The sequence below is a fragment of the Homo sapiens genome, chromosome 3, assembly GCF_000001405.40.
Source record: "Homo sapiens chromosome 3, GRCh38.p14 Primary Assembly".
In the NCBI taxonomy this organism is placed as follows: Eukaryota; Metazoa; Chordata; class Mammalia; order Primates; family Hominidae; genus Homo; species Homo sapiens.
Window position 1 is genome coordinate 71,113,187 of NC_000003.12, and position 22,813 is coordinate 71,135,999.

Genomic DNA, 22,813 nt, shown 5'->3' on the forward strand with positions numbered 1-22,813 from the left:
AGGATGACCTTGATAGAAATCAGAGAGGAAAATTTGGCAAATCTGATCTCTAGTCATCTTAAAGAGGCACATTATGTATCTGTGAACAAAACTGGTTACGTTTATTATAAATGACCCTTTCAAGCTTACAATATGGGATGGTTTCTCCTTAAAGGTAGACATTGGGGAGGTAGTATGAATTGGAGATAAAGCAGGAAGAAAACAGAAGAGTCCTCTAAAATGTTTAACATATGACTGACAAATCTTTTTAAAAGTTCAAGCAGGCTGGGCGTTGTGGCTCACGCCTGTAATCCCAGCACCTTGGGAGACCGAGGTCAGGAGTTCGAGAACAGCCTGGCCAACATGGTGAAACCCTGTCTCTACTAAAAATACAAAAATTAGCTGGGTGTGGTGGCAGATGCCTATAATCCCAGCTTCTTGGGAGGCTGAGGCAGGAGAATCGCTTGCACCTGGGAGGCAGAGGTTAGGGTAAGTCGAGATCGCACCACTGTGCTTCAGCCTGGGTAACAGAATAAGCTTCCATCTCAAAATAAAATAAAATAAAATAAAATAAAATAAAATAAAATAAAATAAAAGGTCAAGTAAAAAAAGAAAAAAACAATGTCATCAATAAACCGCCATGAAGACATTCACTGCCAAAGAATTAAGAACAGGAATACTGGCTAGCCACACACCTTTCCAAAGATGGCACTAGGACCAGCAACAGAAAACTGAAGTTTGAGGATATCATGCTAGAAAGTCATATGAAAAGTTGGGTTACTTGAGTCAATGCAGCTGAGAACCAAGAATGTACACATGGCAGAGATGTCAAGAATGCTCATTAAACGATGTGCTTAGAGTTTAGACACAAAATGAGACTTCTTATTATATCAATAATAATTTCTATATGGTAACCAAATTATTTGCGCATCAAAGAAGAGGCACACATAGATGTCATCAATACATCAAAAGGACCTGAAGCTATAGCCTTAGAAAGTTAGCATAATGGACTTATGACGGTAGTGTGTTCCTTAAAAAGGAACAGGTGCTTCATTTACATAAGAAAACAACATGGATATTTACAAGAAAAGTTACAGGGACAATAGTGGAATGGAAGAGAGGTAAGGGGGCCTGCGTGTCCCTGTGCCTGGAACTCAGAAGAAAGAGAGAACAGAGTGGTCTAGAGGATTAATGTTCATGAGCAGACACGTAAAAACGTGGAGTGTGCAAGAGCAGTGCTTCTCCTAAAAGGACACGCTCACTGAACTGTGCTCATAACTAGAGTTGTAACAAATAATACTTTTAAGACACTGCGTAAGGTTGAGTGGCGCCTTTGTGTTTAAGAGGTGCAAAGGAAAGCTAAGAAACACAAGCACCGATAGATGAGTGACAAAGAAAAGACCATGGGAAAGTGGAACCCTGCTATCCCACCTGCCTACTGCATCCACCCCCGTGTCCCAGGGAGGCCTTCTGCCTACTGAACTCACCACGACCAGCCCTTCAGATGTAATGCACAGGCTAGTTCATCTGTGAAGGGAGAGACAGATTCGACAAGGCCTGCCTGGAAGAGCCTCGAGAAAAGGGGCTGTCTGAGTGGGGCATCTGGAAGCCAAGACGCCTGGGAGAGTTGCCTGAGACTCTAGCCTGCTGTCTCAGGGAGGATTCACCATCACTGGACTCCGGGTTTCCTTGTCTCCTTGGAGACGCTCAGTACATGCGTAGGTGTAAAAGTGGGCAGAGTGAAGATTTCATTTATATCATATAAGAAAAATAGTCCCCTTTGCAAGGTGCCTGCAGGAGCAAAAGCCTCTTCTCCTACTATATATGTTCCCTTAGCTATTGCACATGAAGGTTTTATGGCTTTTTAATGTAGAAAGGGAACTGTTATATATTTTAAGTGCTATCATCAGAGTTCTCAGAGTAATAGACTGATCAGCAAAGAAGGGTTTGGTTGCTAGTTGGAAAGGCAGAGAGAGGGACTATAGATGACAGTGCAGAGAAAAATATGGTGGGGAAGAGGAGAAAGGTTACACACATTTAAGGCTAAAATAAAGCAAGCAAAGAAAAACAAAGTAATGAAGACTCTATATAACTTACCACATTCCACCAAATACTGGGAGAATGGGCACTCAATTATTATTATTATTATTATTTTATTTATTTATTTATTTATTTATTTATTTATTTTGGAGACGGAGTCTCGCTCTGTCACCCAGGCTGGAGTGCAGTGGTGCAATCTCAGCTCGCTGCAACCTCTGCCTCCCGGGTTCAAGCAATTCTCCTGCCTCAGCCTCCTGAGTAGCTGGGACTACAGACGTGTGCCACCACACCCAGCTAATTTTTGTATTTTTAGTAGAGACGGGGTTTCACCATGTTGGCCAGGCTGGTCTCTAACTCCTGACCTCAGGTGATCTACCTGCCTTGGCCTCCCAAAGTGCTGGGATTACAGGTGTGAGCCACTGCACCCAGTCTCAATTTTTAAATAGTCAAGTCTCAGAGCAGCTATAGTCAACTCCTCACTTCAGCAAAGTGTCTTTAAGAAAAACATTCACACATACACACAAAACTATTCTTTTTTTTTTTTTTTTTTGGACAAAGTCTTGCTGTGTTGCCCAGGCTGGAGTGCAGTAGTGCAACCTCGGTTCACTGCAACCTCTGCCTCCTAGGTTCAAGCAATTCTCCTGCCCAAGCCTCCCGAGTAGCTGGGACTACAGGCACCTGCCACCATGCCTTGCTAGCTTTTGTATTTTTAGTAGAGGCGGGGTTTTGCCACGTCGGCCGGGCTAGTCTTGAACTCCTGACCTCAGTGATCTGCCCGCCTCAGCTTCCCAAAGTGCTGGGATTATAGGCGTGAGCCACCGTGTCCGGCCATCACAAAACTATTCTTACATGAGCATGGTCTCATAAATGTACATAAGGAAAGGAAAGTATAGAACTTAAGTTTTCAACAAATGCTTACTGAGCTGGCTCTACAGAATGATCACACATTTCAAAATTAGCTACTGGGATCCTCAGATTTATTCTTCTGGTTTGAAGGGGGTAAAAAAGTCATGTATAAGTTTTTTTTTCAGACCCAACATAGGGTACATGAACTTAAATAATCATACTGTAAACCCCAGCCTCTTCATACCATCTCATACAGAGGCCCACTAAAGATGATAATCCAAGATACAAGCACGGGGGGAAAAGGTTTGCAAACTTGTATGAACCCAAGGGAAACTGCAGCCGACCTACTGAACAGAGAACACCACGAGATAAAGATGTGCAAACTGACTTCCAAATTTCAGCCCCCAAATGAATAAACACAGGTAAAATAACTTTAAATATTTGGGATGGAGAGACAACACTAGTGCAGAGAATAATTCATTTTGATGTGAATTGCTATGAATTATCCCACAATAATTCCCCAGCTTTATCATGAGTATGTTAACAGAGTAGGAACAAATTATTATCCATATCCTCCCCAAATTAAAATCCATTTAAAAATTGCCTTAGGTCTCAGCAGGAGTTTTAAAACCTAACTGAACAGAATTTATAACATGCTTTGAAATCAACCACTAAAAGGTGTTTTCTTTTCTAATTTCCATGATCTATAAATCACTGTGGTCTAGATTTTAAATTGTCACATGCAAGGAGAGGCAATAAATCCTTAGTGTATAACACTATGTATCTGGGCATTATAATACAAATCTCCACCATCTATGATTTGTAAAAAGTAAAAAACATGCTTATTATAATGTTCAGTGTTGATCAGTGGAAAATGTGGAATGACTGATGGGATCCCCTTTGGAATCTGTGTCAGAGACCTATGTTCACCATGTTTCCTGCAGATGATGACTTGATAGCCATTTTTACCTGTTATGTGATCAGAACAGATTATGTCCTTCATCTCCAACTCCAATGCCTAATCCCCAGAGATAAATCTTTTTTTTTTTTCTTTGAGACAAGGTCTCACTATGTTACCTGGGCTGAAGTGCAATAGCACAATCACGGCTCACTGTAGCCTTGACCTCCTGGGCTCAAGCAATCCTCCCACCTCAGCCTCCTGAATAGCTGGGACTACAGGCATGAGCCACCACATCCAACTAATTTTTCCATTTTTGTAGAGACGGGGTCTCATTGTGTTGCCCCAGCTGGTTTCAAATTCCTGGGCTCAAGCAATCCTCCCACTTTGGCCTCTCAAAGGGTTGGGATTACAAGTGTGAGCCACTGTGGCAGGCCAGATATTATTCCAATACAACTGAGGAGTGAGAATGGACTTTTCTTATTTTTATAACAATATCTCAACCACAATTAGAGAAAAGTCCCTTAGGATACATTGTTTGAAGATAAAATTAGATTCTCTGGATACAGAATGCGTGTGAATATGTGTTTGTGTGTATGGGAGAGGGAGAGAGAAGGGTGAAAAAGGAAGAAGGAGAGGGCAAGCAGCAGAAAGAGAGAGACAGAAAGGATATGAATAAATGAAAGAATTTCTCTTTTAAGAAGCAAGGATCAACTCTGACTCAAGTTCCAGATCAATTGCTAATGTAAATAACTTAAAAGGTCCAATCCCATCTCTGGAGACCTTTTACTCTTGGGTGGTTCCTGGGTGGGTTGAGTCAACACTTCCTTTATAACAGATGTGACAATTGCCTGGCACTGGATAACCTGGTGCTGTATTTTCATGCTAGGCTCGGGTTACAGTAAAGACACAGTTTGAGGATGTCACAGAGTGGAGGTGAATGATAAAACCAGGCACTTAGAGCCCAGTTGCACACATTCACATTTATTTTCCTTCAAGCTAAAATAAGTGGCTCTCTGAGCTAAAAGAAGAAGTGGGTGGGTCAGGGGGAGTGGTGGCAGGCACGCATCACTTTCATCTCTTCTGTGGATTGACTAGTCTCCCATCTATGCCCGGATCTGCACAAGGAGTTGGAACTGCCCGATGGCTGGCATGTCATGGTCCACGGCCAGCTCTCAGCACTCAGAGCCAGTGAGATGGCCCTCTCGCTGCTGGCTCGGTAGGTCCTGTTTTCATACTAACTTGGAACCTGGACATTTTTGACACACCTTCCATTCTATTGGTCCAAGATTACTTCATTCTCATCAGTGCCTTCATATTCTTAGTAAATAAGTGCCATCTGTTATTTACAAATTATGTTTTACATAAGCGTGTTTACAACTTCTGAGCTATTTACATTCTAAGATCATAGCAGGTGCTTATAGGGGCTAGGTAATTCTATGTTTAGCATGTTTATCAAGGTAGCCGATGTTCAAAAACATGTCTACCATATTTTAAGAAACATCAACAAGTTTATATAAAATATGGTTTGAACAGGCATGCACACATACATAAAGCAAGCTGGTAGAAGGAGAAAATCTTTCTAAAATGTTTTGCATAACACACTTGGTGACGGGGTCTGAGATAACCAACTGACACATGGAGGTCTTCAAAAAATATGACTAACTGGAAAGTTTCTAGTCACGGGTCAGCAAACTATAGCCCGTGGACCAAATTCGGTCTATCACCTGTGTTGTATCATCTGTCATATATCAGCTCATGATATAAGAATGGTTTTTGCTTACTTAAATGGTTGAGAAAAAAATAAAATAAGATTATATTATGACATGTGAAACTTATATGGTATTCAAATTTTGGTATTTACCAATAAAATTTTATTTGAATACAGTTAAGCTCATTCCCTTATATATAATCTATGGCTACTTTTGTGCTACAAACGGAGTCAAGGACTTTTGACAGAGACCACATGGCCCTTCAGACCTAAAATATTTCTTATCTGGCTCTTTACTAGAAAAGTCTGTCAATCCCCATCTTAGGTTGCTATCTGTAGTCTGAGATCCCCAAAGATTTCACTGGATAGAATCCTATATAAACACATCTTCCAATCAGTTCCCCAAAATAATTTTAGAGTTTGGCCAAGGAGCAAGAACATTATTAATTAGCTGTTCTTTAAGCTCAAATTCAATGTTGATGTTCTGAAAAGGAAATACATCCATGTGCTTCTTGATCTGAAACTGTTTAAAACTTGCCTCAAACTTTGAAGATGTGTTTCTGCTGGTAGGTAATTGATAGCAGTTCAGATCAGTATGAGATCCTGAGCACCCACAGAATGAAGACAGCATGTGCCTTATTGGTGGCCAGTCGAGAGTTGGTTATTTCCTGTCTGCCCTGAGAAGTTGTCCCATTTCCAGCTTGAAAGGCTGGTCTGAGTCAGCCATCCTTCTTCTAATTTCTTTTCCTAGACTCTCTCCACCCCTCAAGATCAAACCTGTTTTTCAGATAATTTCATGGACTAATCAACAGTCACTGTGGATATAGGGGTGGGAGGAAAAGCTTGTAAAAAAAAAGAAAAGCAGCATAGGAACATTAGTAGGAAAGGAGTCGTGTTCTCTCCTCTGTTTCTCATCCTCTACATACTCTTTGACTCCCTGTAGAGAGCCTGGTTCCCCTAAACTAGTTTGCTATCTTTGTTCAACCCCAGCAACCAAAGCAGTGATCATTTAACACAACCTGACAATCACTCTGTAGCAAGACCGAGGACTGAGTATGCAAGGAAACTTCATCACCTTCTTCCTTTAGACAGAGCAATCACTCCAGTGCAGGAAGGAATTAAGGGTTGTGACTGACTTAAAAAAAAGAAAAAGAAAGAAATGACAGTCACTTGTAGAACTGGAAGTATTCATACAGAGTCAATAGTATTCCAAAGCAACAGGTTCTTCAAACAATTTTTTAAAATTTTATTTTACAAATAGAACATTTGGTTGTAACAAGACAATGGAAAAGTAAGTTAATCTCATGGAAGGATTCTGGTGATTGTGAAAATATTAGATGTTCAAAGAAAGATTCCAATACTAATGACTGTGTAAATATTAGATACACAAGAGAAGAAAGAAAGCACTGCAGTAAATCATTGAGTCAGGTTATTGGTGTCATAAATAGAAAACAAAACACATTCTCCAACAAAACTTACAGGGGGTAATGACCATTCACAGACAGCCTTTAACAGTTTCTTTGTACCAGTCACTGTTTGGTCTACTCTATGATACTGCAAATAAGGGTGTGGACTCTGAACATTCATTGGTAGTAAATTCACTTGACTCAACCCCAAAAGCAGGTGCAGTAGACAGCCAAGTCTTACATCAACTGGGATATACTGAATTTGAATCAGTGGCTGAGAAGGGAAAGGCTCTATGTAGCATCATCCATCCTCAAGAGTTCCAACAGCTGGACAAATTGTCCTATGCTTACAGAGCATTTAATAACAGCTGATATTTAGGTAGGACATTTTGCATGGATTTTAAAAAGTGTTCCAGTCTTTGCAAATAAGTTTATGAGACAATGTCAAGATAGGCATGGAGAAAAATCAGAGCAGAGATAACTCCACACCTACAGCATTCCAACATTATGTGTTTGAGTCAAAGTGGAAAGGGACAAGAAATAGAAAAGTCACTCTTCTCTTTGGTCATCATTGTCCTAACTGCAGAGGAGTTACAGTCATGGGTCATGGGCAGTGTCATCTCTGCGTGGGGACGGTGGGGAAGAGGTAAAGGCCAGGCCAAAGCACTCCCTCCAGTACTTGGACCACTTTATCACCCCACACCAGCCTGAACCCCTCTTCTAGATCTACTTCCAATGTTAGGTTTCACATATACTTACAGACATGATTTTATATTCTTTAAGCTACACGTAGGGTGGTTATCATTGCTATGATGCCGATTATGTATATTCCTTGCTTTTCTTTTACTTTAATGTTTAACAAATACCGCAAAGGTAGGTTTGGGAGTTGTGCTTTTTGTTTCTTTTAAAGTCAGCAACTTGAGTATATTTTCTTGGGGAGGAAAAGATGGCAAAAAATTATATTTTTTCTTTCTTTCTTTTTTTTTTTTTTACAAGAACTGGGACTAAAGAGAAAAAATTACGCAAATGTTTTCCTGCACCACGTCATGATTTGCCTGCATTAGCGTTGTGAGCTCAAATGCCATCCTGCGCACCAACTACAGGAGACATGGACAGAGAGAGATGCCGAAGGCTCTAGATAGGAGGTGGCATTCTGCTACAAACCCCACCGCCAATCAAGCCCAGGAAGGGGTCAGCAAACCCTGTATCCGCTTGCAATTATGAGTAACCTTTTTTACTTGAAAGGCACGTACAGGATACTTCCCAGCCAGCAAGGTAAAGGATAGGATTTTCATGACACCAGAAAAAAAAAAGGGGGGGGGGATATCTATGGTCCTCTTGCAAAATTAGATGTAGTAAGTTTAATGACTACAAACAGTCAGGAAGTCTGCTTTAAGTCTTTGGGAAGAGCTAAAAAAAAAACCCACCATCATACTCCTACTCCCATTAACATAGGGCCCTATAACCACCTTGCTGAGGCACTGGCTGGTTGCCCCTCTTGGAGCCAGTGCCAGACGCTGAATCACTACACCAAGTCTCCGGCACCTGAGTTGTCTTTGGAGGGATTCCATTCAAGCAGTGCCCAAGCCTGAGCCTGTTTAGCTCACGAGAGCTGACAAGATCACAGCCTAGGATGCTATGACTGTAGGCCACATTAGCATTGCAGTGAAGTAAAACAGAAGTGAAGTTTATTAGAAAATGTCTAAAATGTTAAGTTGGATGCTGCATCAAACTCTTTTTTGCCTCTGTTTAAGACTAGATTGTGTTTAAAAATAAATAAGTTGGACCCATCCTCCAGGTTCCCAAAGTAGAAAAACTTGGGGTCAAATGCAAGGATAAATGAATCAAAAGGCTCTATTAACTCACTGTATTTAACCCACTGTTTTTTGCAATTGCCTTTTATGAGGTGCAGCTCAGCAACTCTCATTATGAATAATTCAGATTCACATCTTTTCATACCTCAGAATGAGACTTGCTAATTTTGAAGCTTGTGGAAGAATCTAACTAGAATTATGCTCAAAATAATGGAGGATTTTCCATGATTTTCCTAGTAACACTGAACCCAGTTCTTTCTCAAACAAATATGGTACTGTATTCCTTTTTTTCTTATACTGTAAGTCACACATACTCGGGATGCCCTAAGAGGCAATTAACACCTATGAATGCTTTGCTTCACAAAGTACCTTCCTTTTCTTGCCTGAATTTGGGCAAAGAAGCAAAGAGTAAAAATGATTTAGAGGCAACATTCCAGCAGAGATAGAAGACAAAAGAAAGAAACAGAAATGGGAATATAGGAAAGGGCCAAACAAGAATAATAATCCAAAATGCGGAACTACTCACTACTGGCCAAATATTAGGATGGGGGGGAATCCTAATATTCTCCATTAATTTACACTCCTTAAAGCAAGTTATTTCGAATAGCTAAGATTGTATCTGTATAACAATTTAAGAAATGAGGCACATCTGGAAACATAGGGACAAGTGCAGCATAACTTCCCTACATTTAAGACACTAAATAAAAACACTGTATTGAATTGCTTACTATGAACCAGACACTGTGCTAGTTAAGGTGCTCTCTACACTAATCTCATTTCTTGTTCCCAACTTTTCTAAGGGAAGTTCGGGAAAGTTTTGTAAGTCTTGATTTAAAATGGGCAAACAGAGACAGATTGTCAAGTTCAGTGACTTGCCCAAGGTCACAAGTCTACAGAGTGGCTAGGATGGAAAAACAAAAACGAACAAAACATTGTCTCATGAGAACTTGATACTCACACTGTATCAAGGTCACTGATTAGACCAAAGATGGCCACGGGTAATCTTGGCAAATGGCTATGCAGACCTCCGGAGCTAAAAATGCATGACTGACTGTGGGCCCTTTTGCCTCCAGAATGAAAGGAAGGGTCTTTTCTCAGTGTCACACCTTCTAACTTTAATCTCCCTTCTTTTCCCCACACAAAAGACTTGCTTTTTTTCAACCAGACCTTTCCATGGCCAGGACTCTGTGAGCCATAACCATATCCACAAGTCTGCCCTCCCTGTTCTCTGCCCACATTTACATGGCATCCAAGTATCTTCTTTCATCTAAATTCAACCTTTGCCTAAAAACTCTGTCCACAATCCAATTCCTTCAAGCAGCAGTGTCCCCTGATATCCCTAGACCCAAGGGACCAGCCCTGCATCTGAATCCCTGCAGCAGCATCCTGTGTTTCTACTGTTGTGATGGCAAACTCCAAGCAGGCGGACAGGAAGGAATTAACAAGCCCAGCTATCTCTGCTCTCTCGCACGCTGTGTTTTCACCTCTCTGGTTAACTGAGTTCACTCATCTTCTCTTGGAATATTGATGTTGTCCCCATCATACCTTGATTCTCAGCTCTTCCTCAAGCCCCATTCTGGACAAGTCCCTCGTTCTCTGGTTCAGCTAAGCCAAGGTTGGATTTTTTTCAAAACGAGCTTTTCATAAAGCAAATAATAGAAAAGCAGAGCTAAGAGAGTACAGGTCTTTTCCTTTTTAACCCAAATTTCACTAAAGTCCAGCCACAGTTAATGCCTCTGGACACCTGTATCTTACACTTCACCTCCATCTAAGTGAGATCTCTTCTCCTGACCCACTCGGCATGGCTTTTAGGTCCAGTGGGATTTCCAGCTCTTTTTTTAAGCCACTGTAGACTCTTGCACTCTGCTATAAATACATTCTTCTTCTTCTTTTTTTGGTGGAGGTGGTATGGGTGCTAAATTACTGTGTTATTAAACCTGCCCTGGTCCCTGGTCATTGGGGATAAGGAAGATAATTAAAAATTGTAATGTTTTTAGTGTTTATTGCCAGACAAGTACTAAACAGTGCAAACCCATTATATTATTTATTTTTTCACAATGCTTTGAGGTAAATTATACCCAGTTAACAGATGAGGGAGAGAGACAGGGAGGGCGACAAGGGTGAAAAAATTAACTATTGGGTACTATGCTCGGTACCTGGGTGTCGGGATATCCCCAAACTCAGCATCATGCAACATACCCAGGTAACAAATCTGCACATGTACCCATGAATTTAAAATAAAAGTTAAAGTTATATTTTTTTAAAAAAAAAATGATACAGAGGGACTCCATTATGTCTATTATCTAGTTTTTCACAAATATTTTAAAACAAAGTCATTTCTATTTGTGTGTACCTGCATAGTCGTTTGACAGGCCCAACCTGAAAAAAATTTCTTTTCAGGTTGGGCCTTTCTCAGTTTTTGCCTTTTGAGCAGTCATATGCTTACAATTTTTTTTTTTCCTCTCTGGAGAGAAAAAAATACTGGACAATTCTTGGAAAAAAGAATATTTAAAAAATCCCCAAATAAAAACACCACAATTGTTTACTATAAATACATTGTTTAAAGTATGTAAAATAACTACAATAGTTAAATTATTTTACCTACTCCAAAATATTTGTTACTTATTATGCAAAGCCTATAGAAAAATGTTTCAAATATCACTATTACAATTGATACTTATAATACAGCATGATGTATGCAAGTGTGTGGTGCACATATTATGTTTGTGGTTACTTTAACTTGTAGATCATAAACTGTGTGTCAAAAAAAAAAAGAAAAAAAAAAGAGAAACATAAGACCAGAGAGGATAAATTATAAAGATTATGTGACATGTGTAGGTAAAGTCCTTAGCACAGCACCTGAAACATGATAGTTATTCAGTAAATGGAAACTAAAACTATTATTATATCTATAACACACTGCCCCCAGGCATAAGAGAATATATTTTCTCAATGGAAAGCAAAGATTCCTTTCTCCCAGTGATCTCAAACCATTGGTCGTCCTCTTTACAGAAACACTAAGAAAAGTTGCAGCATCCTCTCTTGAACCCAAAGGGATCTAAGGCAGTCAACTTTAATTGTACAAAAAGCAAACTGAGGACAAGAGGGGTACATGGTTTATCTGCAGTTACACAGATGACATGCAGGTGAGAATCCTGGCTCTTTCCAATGGCAAATGTACTTGAGCAACTATGACTCTGACTCTTACCAAACATTCACCCATGCCTTGCCAATTCTCAATGCAGGAATGGCTGCCTAAGAGGCCAAATATTGAGCTAGGGGGAGATGATGATACTGGTGGTGATACTATCAATGAAGAAAATGGTAACTAACACTGAATCCCAACTACGATTGGTTCTAAATTACTTTATATAAACAGAAAGTTTATGTAATGTGGTCAAGGTCACGCAGCCTGGATAGAATCCCTTCACTGTATTCAAGAACGACATACACACAAAAAGTCCACTAATCCATAGACGTATGGATTTGGAGTTCTTCCATTCACCTGGAACTAGAACTACTTGCTTGACATGACCGATTAAAAAAAATTAGACACGTATAGAAAAATATATTCGGTTAATCTAAACCACACAAAAAGGTAACTTTGTAATGAACTTTAGAAAGATTACATCTTATGGAGGCAAAGAAATACAGATTTGATTGGTTTGGTTGAGGAATTAGTAACTCTTTAAGAGGGAATCTGAAAAAAACTTTGGTCATCTGATACACAGTTGTGCTCACAGAGTTGTGCTCAAAAAGTGACAATGATCTTTTGAACTTCCAGTAACCATGGTTTAGCATAAGATGGAACTTGAGTCTCCAGGCATGAAGAAGTAAGGATTCTCTGGGAATATGGGGGAATTACTGACCCTGAGAGAATAACAGAAATTACAAAGAAATAGAAGTTTGCTTTGAAAAACATTAATGTATGTCCACAGAAGCAGCATACATAGTGGTTGAATGCACACCAATCACTGTGTCTGGATTTGAAGCCCAATTCTACCATTCGCTAGCTGTGTGACCTGAGACAAGTTACTTAACCTCTCTGTGTCTTAGTTTCTTCTTCAATAAGAATGGGAGGAACTGAAAGTACCTATGTCAAATTGATACATGTAAAGTGCATAGTCTAGAGCCTCACACTCAATAAGTAACAAGTGATTTTGAAAAGTGCTGTATAACTATAGATTATGAAAGTAATAACTTCATGGTAGAAGATATGTAAAATGTATACATGAATTGGGAGAAAAATAAAAAATATGACACCATCACCTGCAATGACACATTGTCAGCATTTGGGGATATGATTAAGAAAAGAAATTTTTGGCCGGGCGTGGTGGCTCACACCTGTAATCCCAGCAATTTGGGAGGCCAAGGCGGGCGGATCACCAGGTCAGGAGATCGAGACCATACTGGCTAACACAGCGAAACCCCGTCTCTATTAAAAATACAAAAAAAAAAATTAGCCAGGCGTGGTGGCAGGCGCCTGTAGTCCCAGCTACTCTGGAGGCTAGGGCCAGAGAATGGCGTGAACCCGGAAGGCAGAGCTTGCAGTGAGCCGAGATGACACTACTGTACTCTAGCCTGGGCCACAGAGTGAGACTCTGTCTCAAAAAAATAATCAAATAAATAAAAATAAAAAGAAAAGAAAAGAAATTTTCTTGGGCCAAGCACTGTGGCTCACGCCTGTAATCCCAGCACTTTGGGAGGCCGAGGCAGGGAGACCGCTTGAGCCCAGGAGTTGGAGACCAGCCCAGGCAACATGGCAAAACTCCGTCTCTACTAAAAATACAAAAATTAGCCAGGTGTGATGGTGCACACCTGTAGTCCCAGCTACTTAGGAGGACGATGCATGAGAATCCCTTGAACCCGTGAGATGGAGGCTGCAGTCGGCTGAGATAGCACCACTGTACCCCAGACTGGGTTACAGAGCAAGACTCTGTCTCAAAGAAAAAAACGAAACAAACAAACCAAAAAGAAAAAAAAAAACAAACAAAAAAAAAAAACAAAAACAAAAAAAAAAAGAAAGAAGAAAAAAGAAAAGAATATTTCTTAAGCAAAAACTGGAATCATTTTGTATGGTCTTTTGAAAATTACATTTTGAAATTAAAAGCACATTTTGAGTAGAGATTTTTTTTTCAAATCTAATTTCTATATTCAGGTTCCAACAAACAAACAGCTTCAGGAGCCAAACAACCCAGGCACCTCCACCCTACTGTGGAGTTTTCTGGAAAAGCTTTCAACGAAGGAGTCTGAACAGTAAATGGCACTTGTCTAATTTTTACACTGTGCTTTAGAAACCCAGGAAGGAGGCCCACGGCACTCCAGAATTGAAGAATCACACAGTACCATACCAGGTTAACAGCAGGTTTCAATTCTTTTGCCCCCAAAGCATGAAACTACAGAGCAACCGCTGACTTAACTTTGCAGCGCCCATAAGCAGTACTGTATCTGTTTCTTCACAAAGAACAAACTTGACTTGATTTTTGTGGAAGTTAAATTGCCAACATCATATTGAGTTAAAGAGAAACAAAACAAAAATCAGAAGTTTCAGCCCATGCTGTATCTTTAAAAAAAATACATCCTTTGACCCTAAATAGATTAAAATAAAGAACGATTAGTCTTCACCACCTCCTCCCTCCCCCAACCATCAACATCATGCACTAGCTATATTTTCCAGGCCAGTTTCTTCATGGTAAAACACTTTCTCATGAGACTGCCTGTGGTCAGGGCTGACTATGTCACAGGAAAAAATGCTTCTCATGATCTCTAGATCACAGCGCTTCCAGGTCTAGCCTGAGCATTAAATACAGACACACCCGGAAATTGTAAATGATTTTAACAACAGGACATTTTCCCACCTCAAAACTGGGATAATCTTTGCAGCCTACCTATGTCCCTGGGGTGTTCTGAGTATTAACAAGTTAGCATTAGTCAGGCACTTTGATTTCTACAGACAAAGGGCTCCGTATAAATACAAAGTATGATTATCCAACCCAACTGCCTTTTGGAGAGAGGCGGAAAGGCCACTGCTTCCATCCTTGTCTTCTCAAGGGCAAAGCAACCTCCTAGTTATCTGCAGGGCAATACTCATGAAAGTTGCACTGTATCTGAGCCTCTGCTGCACCGTTCCCTTATATAGTCAAGGAAGAGGGAATCCCTTCTGTGTGCATATTTTCAATTCACATTCCAAAACAGTATAGGCAATGAAACAGATTTTCAGTTGTGATTTATAGGTCTTGATACGACTGGGCCAGGCACTGTGCTAGAATCACGCACATCACTTCTTCAGGATGTGGAGAAGTAAGGAAGCCCCTACAGAAAATCATGTTCCGGTATTTAAAGAATGTGCCAGTATGCGCACATATATCAGTGAATGCCTACATATTAAGAATGATTTCACAAAGCCATGCAAACCCCACTTGAGAACTAAAAAAAAAAAAAACGCAAATTTTAAATCTAAATTTAATATAGATTTGAGCCTTTCCCTTGGCCTCTGGAGGAATCAATTTGAGATAATGACAGCCTTGAAGATAATGAAATGGGTTACATAATATTAAAGACTAGAAGGTATTTCTGAGGGACACAGACATATAAGTAGACTCTCTGTATTACAGCACCTGCCTAACATCTTTAAAGAGAGGGGCAAAATGTTGGCCTCTGATAAATTACGTTGTACCCTAGCCACAGACACTATGGTATACTTTCCTTTAGTTGAGCTATTCATGTTTAGCTTTAAACATCAGAATATAGCCTTCGACAAAACGGTAAGAGTCACTGGTTTGTCCAATGGTATTATTATTTAAAACACACACACATACACCACACAGTCGAACTACTGAGGCAGACATTCCTAAGTGAACTGTCTAGAAAAAGCTAAATTAATGAACCAAGTAATCCTGGGAAATCCTGTCCCATAAAACCATTAGTTGCAATAGGCTAATTCTCAATAAAAAGCCTGGCAAATTCTCAGAAGGCAAAAAGCCTCCTGAGCCTTAAGGGTTAACTCACTTGCCTTAAAAAAAAAAAGACACATATAATTTCCTTTTATCATAAGACAATGCATTTATTATTTTCTGTATATCTGTTAAAGGGCATGGCTTTCGGAGTGGAAAACAAAACAGAACTTGGTCACATGTTTATTTGCTTCAGCTACTCCCTTCCCCTTCTGATAAATAATCAAACATGCCATCCAGAAAAAACAAAACGAGCGAGCTGGGAAATTTGATGGTCATCAAATAGACTAAGATACCAAGAAAAGCAGCCCACTGTTCCCACACTGAGTTTTCGGCCCCCACACCTACACTAACATCTGAGTAAATACCTTCAGTCACTCTTTCCATTTTCCCTGCAATTACTCCTACTGTTAAACAAATTGTCCTTAAGGCAGTCGCAAACATCTTATTTTTTCTTGCAAAAGAGAACAACTTCTGAACATTCAAAAAAGCCACCATAGCGATAGCAATACACACACATGCACACACACATACATACAATTATTTTATGTATCTAAATGTTTCTTCTATGAGAGGTTTGGACAACCCCAGAGCATATTTCTTTCTCTATTCTAATAGATGCTGTTTTAGATACTAAAATTTAAAAATATTTAGACTGCGGACTAGCAAACGAGGTTCACAGTAATAACAATTCTCTTAAGATCAAAAGAGCTTATTTTCCATTTCCTGTCTATTCCCTGACCACCATATAGTTAAAAAAGAAATATTAACACCTGGCTTACCAATTAAACTGAAGTTGGGGGTCAGGGAAGGGGGGTGTGGAGGGAGGGGAGAGAGGCAAAAGGAGTGACTACAGACAGGAAAAGGTGGAACCTTTTTCAAAAATGTCAAATCATGTGTTTAAAAAGTCATTTCAACAGAAAGGACTAAGAGAGCCGTTAGATTGCTCTTCTACTCAGAGCCAGGAGGCAGCCCAAGTCCAAGGGCTTTTCCTGCTATACTGATTATCCACAAGGAAAATTTTGAAAAGAGCCTTCCAACATCAAAGTTAACAACCATCACGGAAAGTGAGGCAGGCTTTCCCTTTCCCTCTGCAGCCCACTCCGTTGAAACAATAGGAATATGAATGAGATAATGACCGTGCGTGTTTCAGCAGTCTGACTTTTATTGGCATGAAATTGGTACAAATATTACCAAGACCGATTCACAAATGATGACGGTGTCGTGATGCAAACATCAGGGGACAATTCTGTAGATGCAGAATTACAAAGGCACCATCCCCACATTCTCTTACTACTTGTGATAACAGGAAGAAAAAGAAGGCAACACGAAACAATGTCACAGTAAGCAGAGAGAGGTTCCAATCTACGTTTAGCCTATAAAACTATCCTGACACCACCCGGCTGCTTACTTAGCTGATTATATCCAAAGACATATTTGAAAACAAGAGTGAATTAAACAAGGAGTTAGAAGGAAACGGTCCTCTCAAATCTCTAAAAAGAAAAAAGCCTCTGATGGAGAGAGGAGGGAAGGGGGAGGAAAAAAAGCAGTAAACAAGTTGGATCACCTTATTTCGCCCTTCAGAGAATGTCTGCACAAGAACGGATCCCTAGTTTAAAAGTTTAACCCAGCAAAAAAATGTTTCTTTTTCTCTGGACACTTACAGAGAAAATGAAGAGTTTGGCGAAGGGAGCCCGTACTGTCTGCCTTTGGATTTCCGTCTTCTTGCTGTAGATGGGTTCTGGCTGTTTCTGCGAAGCGGGGGTTGCCGAGTGGTAAAAAAGATGTTTGAATAAACAGGAAGTACTGTGCGGCTGAAGCACACTCGAAGAGAAAACACACTGGAACATTGCCCTTTGTAGGCAACCTCAGGGAGGTTTGCCTCCACAGTAGCTGGCTGGGCTCTCACTAAATGACAAAGAAACCACAAGAATTCCTCAAGTAATTCTTCACTTTCAAAGTTGAAAGATCAGTTGGAGCTTGCAGGTAATTTTCAAAGTTGCATTTAGCACTTAAAGAAATCTATTAATGCCACACATATCTAAACCGCTCCAGGTCTGCAAGCAGCGACACAGCACACGCAGTGCGCCCTGGCTAGACCAAGCCCTAGCCAAACACAGCTCATTCACGCAGACAAATACACACCAACAGGGTTTCGGGAAACCTGCTCTTGAGATATTTTTGTGGTGACATTTACATAGGCAGGATGCTTTAAAAGAAAAAAAAAAGAAGAAGAAGAAAATTCAGATTTTGCAGACTTTAGAGGATTTTGTCACATGTATTTTTAAAGAACACATCGTCCCGTATTCCAGGGATATGCCCTGGATCTGGCTTTGACTGGCTGTCCTTTACATTTTCTTTCTCCACCATCAACCAAACTACCTGTTTATCTCCAGATGCCTAGCTTGCCTAATGGAACACTCCTTAACCCGCCCCAAAATGATTGTCACAGTCCTGTCTTCCGTCACCGGAGTAATTCAGCAAATACTGTGAAGAAAAGTAAACTGCTGAAGGCACAGCAAGTCAGCTTGAAAAACAGGAGGAAGAGTTGAACAGCCATATTCAATAACAAAAAAAAAAAAAAAAAAAGGAGGAAGAAAAGGATTCCTTCTGAAAATGTATTGCTCTTGTGGCAATGTTCTTCTGCCACAGAAGCTACTGATTTGTTATTTAGCATGGAATGCTGGACTGTCTGTCATCCAGGTGCTAATACTCGGCTAAAATAACTCATTGGGAGCTGTCAGTGGGATGTTTACATAGGCCCCAATCTTTTCTTCATAGAAGGAAATTTTTTACTGGAATTCATCTTCTTTTGATCTCACATTCAAAGCAACGGCAGCTTGATAGACATTCAAGTCTGAAAGCAAATCCAGACGCTGAAGATAAACCGCCAGAAAATGACAGGCAGAAGCATCTAAAGCTTATAAAAATGAAGAGAACAGCATGTCGCCTGAGTATTACAATAGCAGAAATCAAGAGACATATTAGGTGGAACTGATCAGCCACAAAAACAGTTCAAAAGGCAGATCATAGAAACAGAAGACTAGGCTGGGGGAAAAAATGGGAAAGATCTGGTTTACTGCCTCATCTCCCTTCTGAGTCTCACAGTGCTTCCACGCCTGCCTTCTCCACTTTGGGGAGGGGTGGAGTATCCAATGCAAATGTTCCTCTCTAACTCAGCTGGTCCAGTTAGAGACCAGGAAATGATTTCCTAGCAATCCCTTTTCAAGGGGCAGGAGAAAAAGGCAGACTCTTACCTTGCTCAGTGTCCAAAATCCTGCATTTTATTAGCATCCCCTGCAGCTGCTCTGCGTTGCAGTATCAAAAGGCACACAGCCTGGGCGCCATGAAAGTGGGCGGTCAGGAAAACCATCTCTCAACAGAAGAGCTATAAGTAGTTCGAGATGGGGCTAGAGAGCTCTAAGCAGTCCAGTTCCCTAAAATGGCTAGTTATGGAATGAACACAAATGTTCCAGCCTCAGTCACACAAATAGATGTGTTCTGTCCTACAGATATGTAACTGCTTAACACCTAGTAGCTTTTAAGCCAACTAGGGCAGTTCTGTAAAGGAATTATCACAACTTTCTCAGAGACATGCAATTAAAAAAAATAAAGCCTCTTATTTTCAATAAAGTCAGTGCATACAATCAAATAGTAATTCTCCCAACAATTTTGTTCTTAAAGCTGTTTGTTAACAAACACTGAATGTGAACAGGCAGCATCAGGTTAAAGGGCAACAGAATTCCACATTATAATTTAGCCTGCGGTTATTCCTGATTGCAAGCACCCTCTGGGACTGCAAAGCAAGATCTTCTTTTGCAGCACGCTTGGATTTTTAAAATTAGTGCCCCTCTTTTTTTGCATAATAAACCAACATTAAAATATGGATTAAAAAATGTACAAACCAATTTTTAAAAGCTGTAATCAGTTTAGCATTTGCCTTGTGCAAACGAGTCCTGGGTAACTAAGTTACAAATGCAAAAAACAACACAAACAAACAAAGCCAAAGCCCTACTGGATCCTAAGAGTGTTTTTTCAAGACACCTCTGCCATGCCTATATAGCTATCAGATGTGCTAAAGTCGATGATTTTCCTTTGAACTGTACTAGTTCAATCTGTGAAAGTCGCCACAGTTGTTCTCTAACCATAAAAAAAAAAAAGCAAGCAAACATAGTTGCTTTCAACACTTACTCCAAACATCTCCCAACTAAATATTCCATGTTGTTGCAATTGTTAGATTTACAAAAAACACAGAAAGGTTTGCCGTGAAAAGCGAAATGCAAATTCCCTTATACATTATAAAATATGTTCTTCCTCTACAAAGAATGCTGCCACCACTGCTGTGATGCAAGCAGCAGCAACAGTCCATTTCTCATGGCCATTAGAAGTCTTTTTTAAAAAATCTGACACGTATAAAGACCTTCATTAGTATAATTAAATGACTGTTGGGTTTTTGTGATATAAACAACTTTTGATATGTCATTTAAAAACCTCATAATAACATCATTAAAGGGCCACCATTTTTAAAAGAGAAATTGTCTGCTCAGGGCCATGGAATAGTCGTCTCGCTCTGGGCCTCTTCCTCCTCTCCCTTTCAGACTTCTCCTGGACTTGAATGTCACCATAGACCTTGAATCCTTGAATGTGAAATGGCTTCACGCTAATTGCTGTAATTGCTTGAAGATGTGCAGGCAGGTGAAACCTGATCCCCGTGGCCATTGTAGAGACCAAGAACAACACGGAATGTTTACACAGTGGTTTGATTTTAATAGACAGAAGGGCTGAGTTTAAGACAGCAAAAACACAGCTAATAGGTGACCTCTTAATGTAGTCCTCCTCTAAATAAAAAAAAAAAGGACACACAACAAAATACAATTTCATGTTCTAAAAGGCAACATCCTAAATACCAAGGTTATTTGCTTGACTCTTGGAGTTGAGTACACGTTACATTGCACCTGACATTTTATACCCGAAAGTCTACCCCGAATATGTGTGTGTGTGATGTTTTTTTTTCACTTTAAAACAAAAAAACACTTTATATGTCAGTCACCTCACAAACAGATTATGACTCTATAGTATTTCCTAGTAAGTGCATTCATTTAAATTTTAAATTGAATATTTTTCACAGCTGTAATACTCCTTGTCCCTTAAACGGGAAGGCTTGGGTGTCTCCTTGTTTATTCCTTTGCCTATTCTGTCCCCACCCCCATTTATGGAATTCTTGACCCTTGTCCATTTCTTGATTGCAGCTGAAGTTGAGCCCAAACCCGCTCACACTGGTGCTTCAGACATTTGTCTAAAGGCTTTCAGTATCTTGTTTCTTTGTTGCTGTGTGGGACTGTGGTCTGCTTCTACCTAGACAGACTAAGGTGGCCGTTAGAGCAGCCAAAATAATTATTCAAAAACGGTGGCTATTCTCCTTGATATTTTTACAATTTCGAATGGACACCAAGGTTTAATGATGGCTCCCCAGGGCCCTCTCTTAACAGGGCACAAATGTAACCAAGGCTGGACAAGAAATACATGATAGCAAGGCCAAGAGAAAAATACAGCAGCACCTCCAAGGTATCATTAACAAAAGGAAACCCACAAAGATTAGGGGAAGTGTTAGATAGGTATTGAGATAGGTAGGTAGGTAGATAGACAGATAGCTCAAGGATCCAAATGTATAGGAGCATTTCATATATAGCCAAGGAAATACTGCCAAACAGAAAATGAAAATGAAACATATACTACAGTAGGAAAAAATACAGCGAAACAATGGAATTATTTTAAGGTTAAGCTGGGCAATTAAAGCCAAAGATACACCTTGTAAATGAGAACAGAGAAGCACGAAATAGCCCATACAGCTGGGAGTATTGTCTAACTGCTGCTCTGCCAAGTTATGCTGTATATTAACTTCTGATGATGAAATACAAAATGCAGCAGAAAGGGGGGAAAAGCCCTCTTAAAGCTATGAAAACTTTAACTATATAAGCTAAGTAATAAATATAGGCACTTCTTTTCCTGGACTATTTGTACCCCCCAACACTGAAAGACAAAATAATGAAACAAAAATAACTGCATAGAACTTCCCTTTGAATCACAGCCACCTCACATACATTTCTAGACAATCCTACCTTCTTCTAAAAGTTATAATCCCCGGCCAGGCACGGTGGCTCACGCCTGTAATCCCAGCACTTTGGGAGGCCGAGGTGGGCGGATCACGAGGTCAAAAGAGATCGAGACCATCCTGGCCAACACGGTGAAACCCCATCTCTACCAAAAATACAAAAATTAGCTGGGCGCGGTGATGCGTGCCTGTTGTCCCAGCTGCTCGGGAGGCTAAGGCAGGAGAATTGCTTGAACCCAGGAGGTGGAGGTTGCAGTGAGCCAAGATCGCACCACTGCACTTCAGCCCGGCAACAGTGAGCCTCCGTCTCAAAAAAAAAAAAAAAAAAAAAAAGTTATAATCCCCTATTAAGAAGAAATGTCCTTCCCTCTGAAAAAGGAGGGGGGACCAAAAGGAGGGGAGACCAATATCCATTTGTACATGTAAAGATTAAGTATAAACCAGTCCAAGCCAGTGAGAGGAACACAGAGGAAAAAAGTAAACAGGCCCCTACCCCCTACTCCCAAAATAGTTCCCCTTTGAAAGTTCTAAGCGGTGAGTGCCTGGTACCGAGGGCTGCCCTGTTCCTTGGAGGGGTCAGCAAAGCTATGCTAAACTGACAGGTTCAGTTTACAGCAGGCCAGAACTTTGTTTGGATATACTGGCCTTGTTCACCGCCAGCTTAACAACAGATGGCTAGAAAACTTTCATTATGTTGCACAGGACTGAACTGCAAACAACCCAGAAAACTGTGAAAAGTTTAACTCCCTCTGAACCAATGTGCCAAACCAGGGCCTGCCCAGAGCCAGTGAACCAGCTTAAGGCCAAGGGGACTGTGGAAGTGATGGTTAAAATAACACTGCCCAAGTCAAGTCAAAGCACCTTTCCAGGCTCCAAAACGGCAGCGACCCACCCAAATCTTTATTTAACTCTTCAAGGGCCAGGCCATATAAGGAGTTGCATCGACTATGCCTTCTTTACTTTTCCAAAATGTACTGTCAGACTTTCCCTCCCTTTGGAGAAAGAAAATCTTCCTTCAGACAGTTCCCAATCCCCAAGCTCCCGTTCTGCCTTT

At 40.4% G+C, this 22,813-nt stretch overlaps 1 protein-coding gene across 16 annotated transcripts in view, besides 1 other annotated feature; it reads right to left on the reverse strand.

The window, feature by feature from the left end:
• Positions 1-22,813, reverse strand: part of FOXP1 (forkhead box P1) — a 629,271-nt gene that overhangs the window by 158,479 nt on the left and 447,979 nt on the right. For 3 of the 16 annotated variants that reach the window (NM_001349337.2, NM_001370548.1, NM_001244815.2), the window contains exon 1: positions 17,312-17,400. The exons of 11 other annotated variants lie outside the window; for them this stretch is intronic. The gene's annotated coding sequence lies outside the window, so the exon portion shown is untranslated. Of the gene's footprint in view, positions 1-17,311; positions 17,401-18,904; positions 19,012-22,813 lie in introns of those variants that run through there. 2 more of the 16 variants (NM_001349343.3, NM_001349342.3) reach the window with 1 other exon arrangement.
• Positions 16,539-17,281: an enhancer, noted in NCBI's record as "OCT4-NANOG-H3K27ac hESC enhancer chr3:71178876-71179618 (GRCh37/hg19 assembly coordinates)". NCBI's record gives its function as "activates a minimal SCP1, AML or CMV promoter by ChIP-STARR-seq in primed H9 embryonic stem cells {active_cell/tissue: H9 hESC(primed)}" and the evidence as "EXISTENCE:reporter gene assay evidence [ECO:0000049][PMID:30033119]".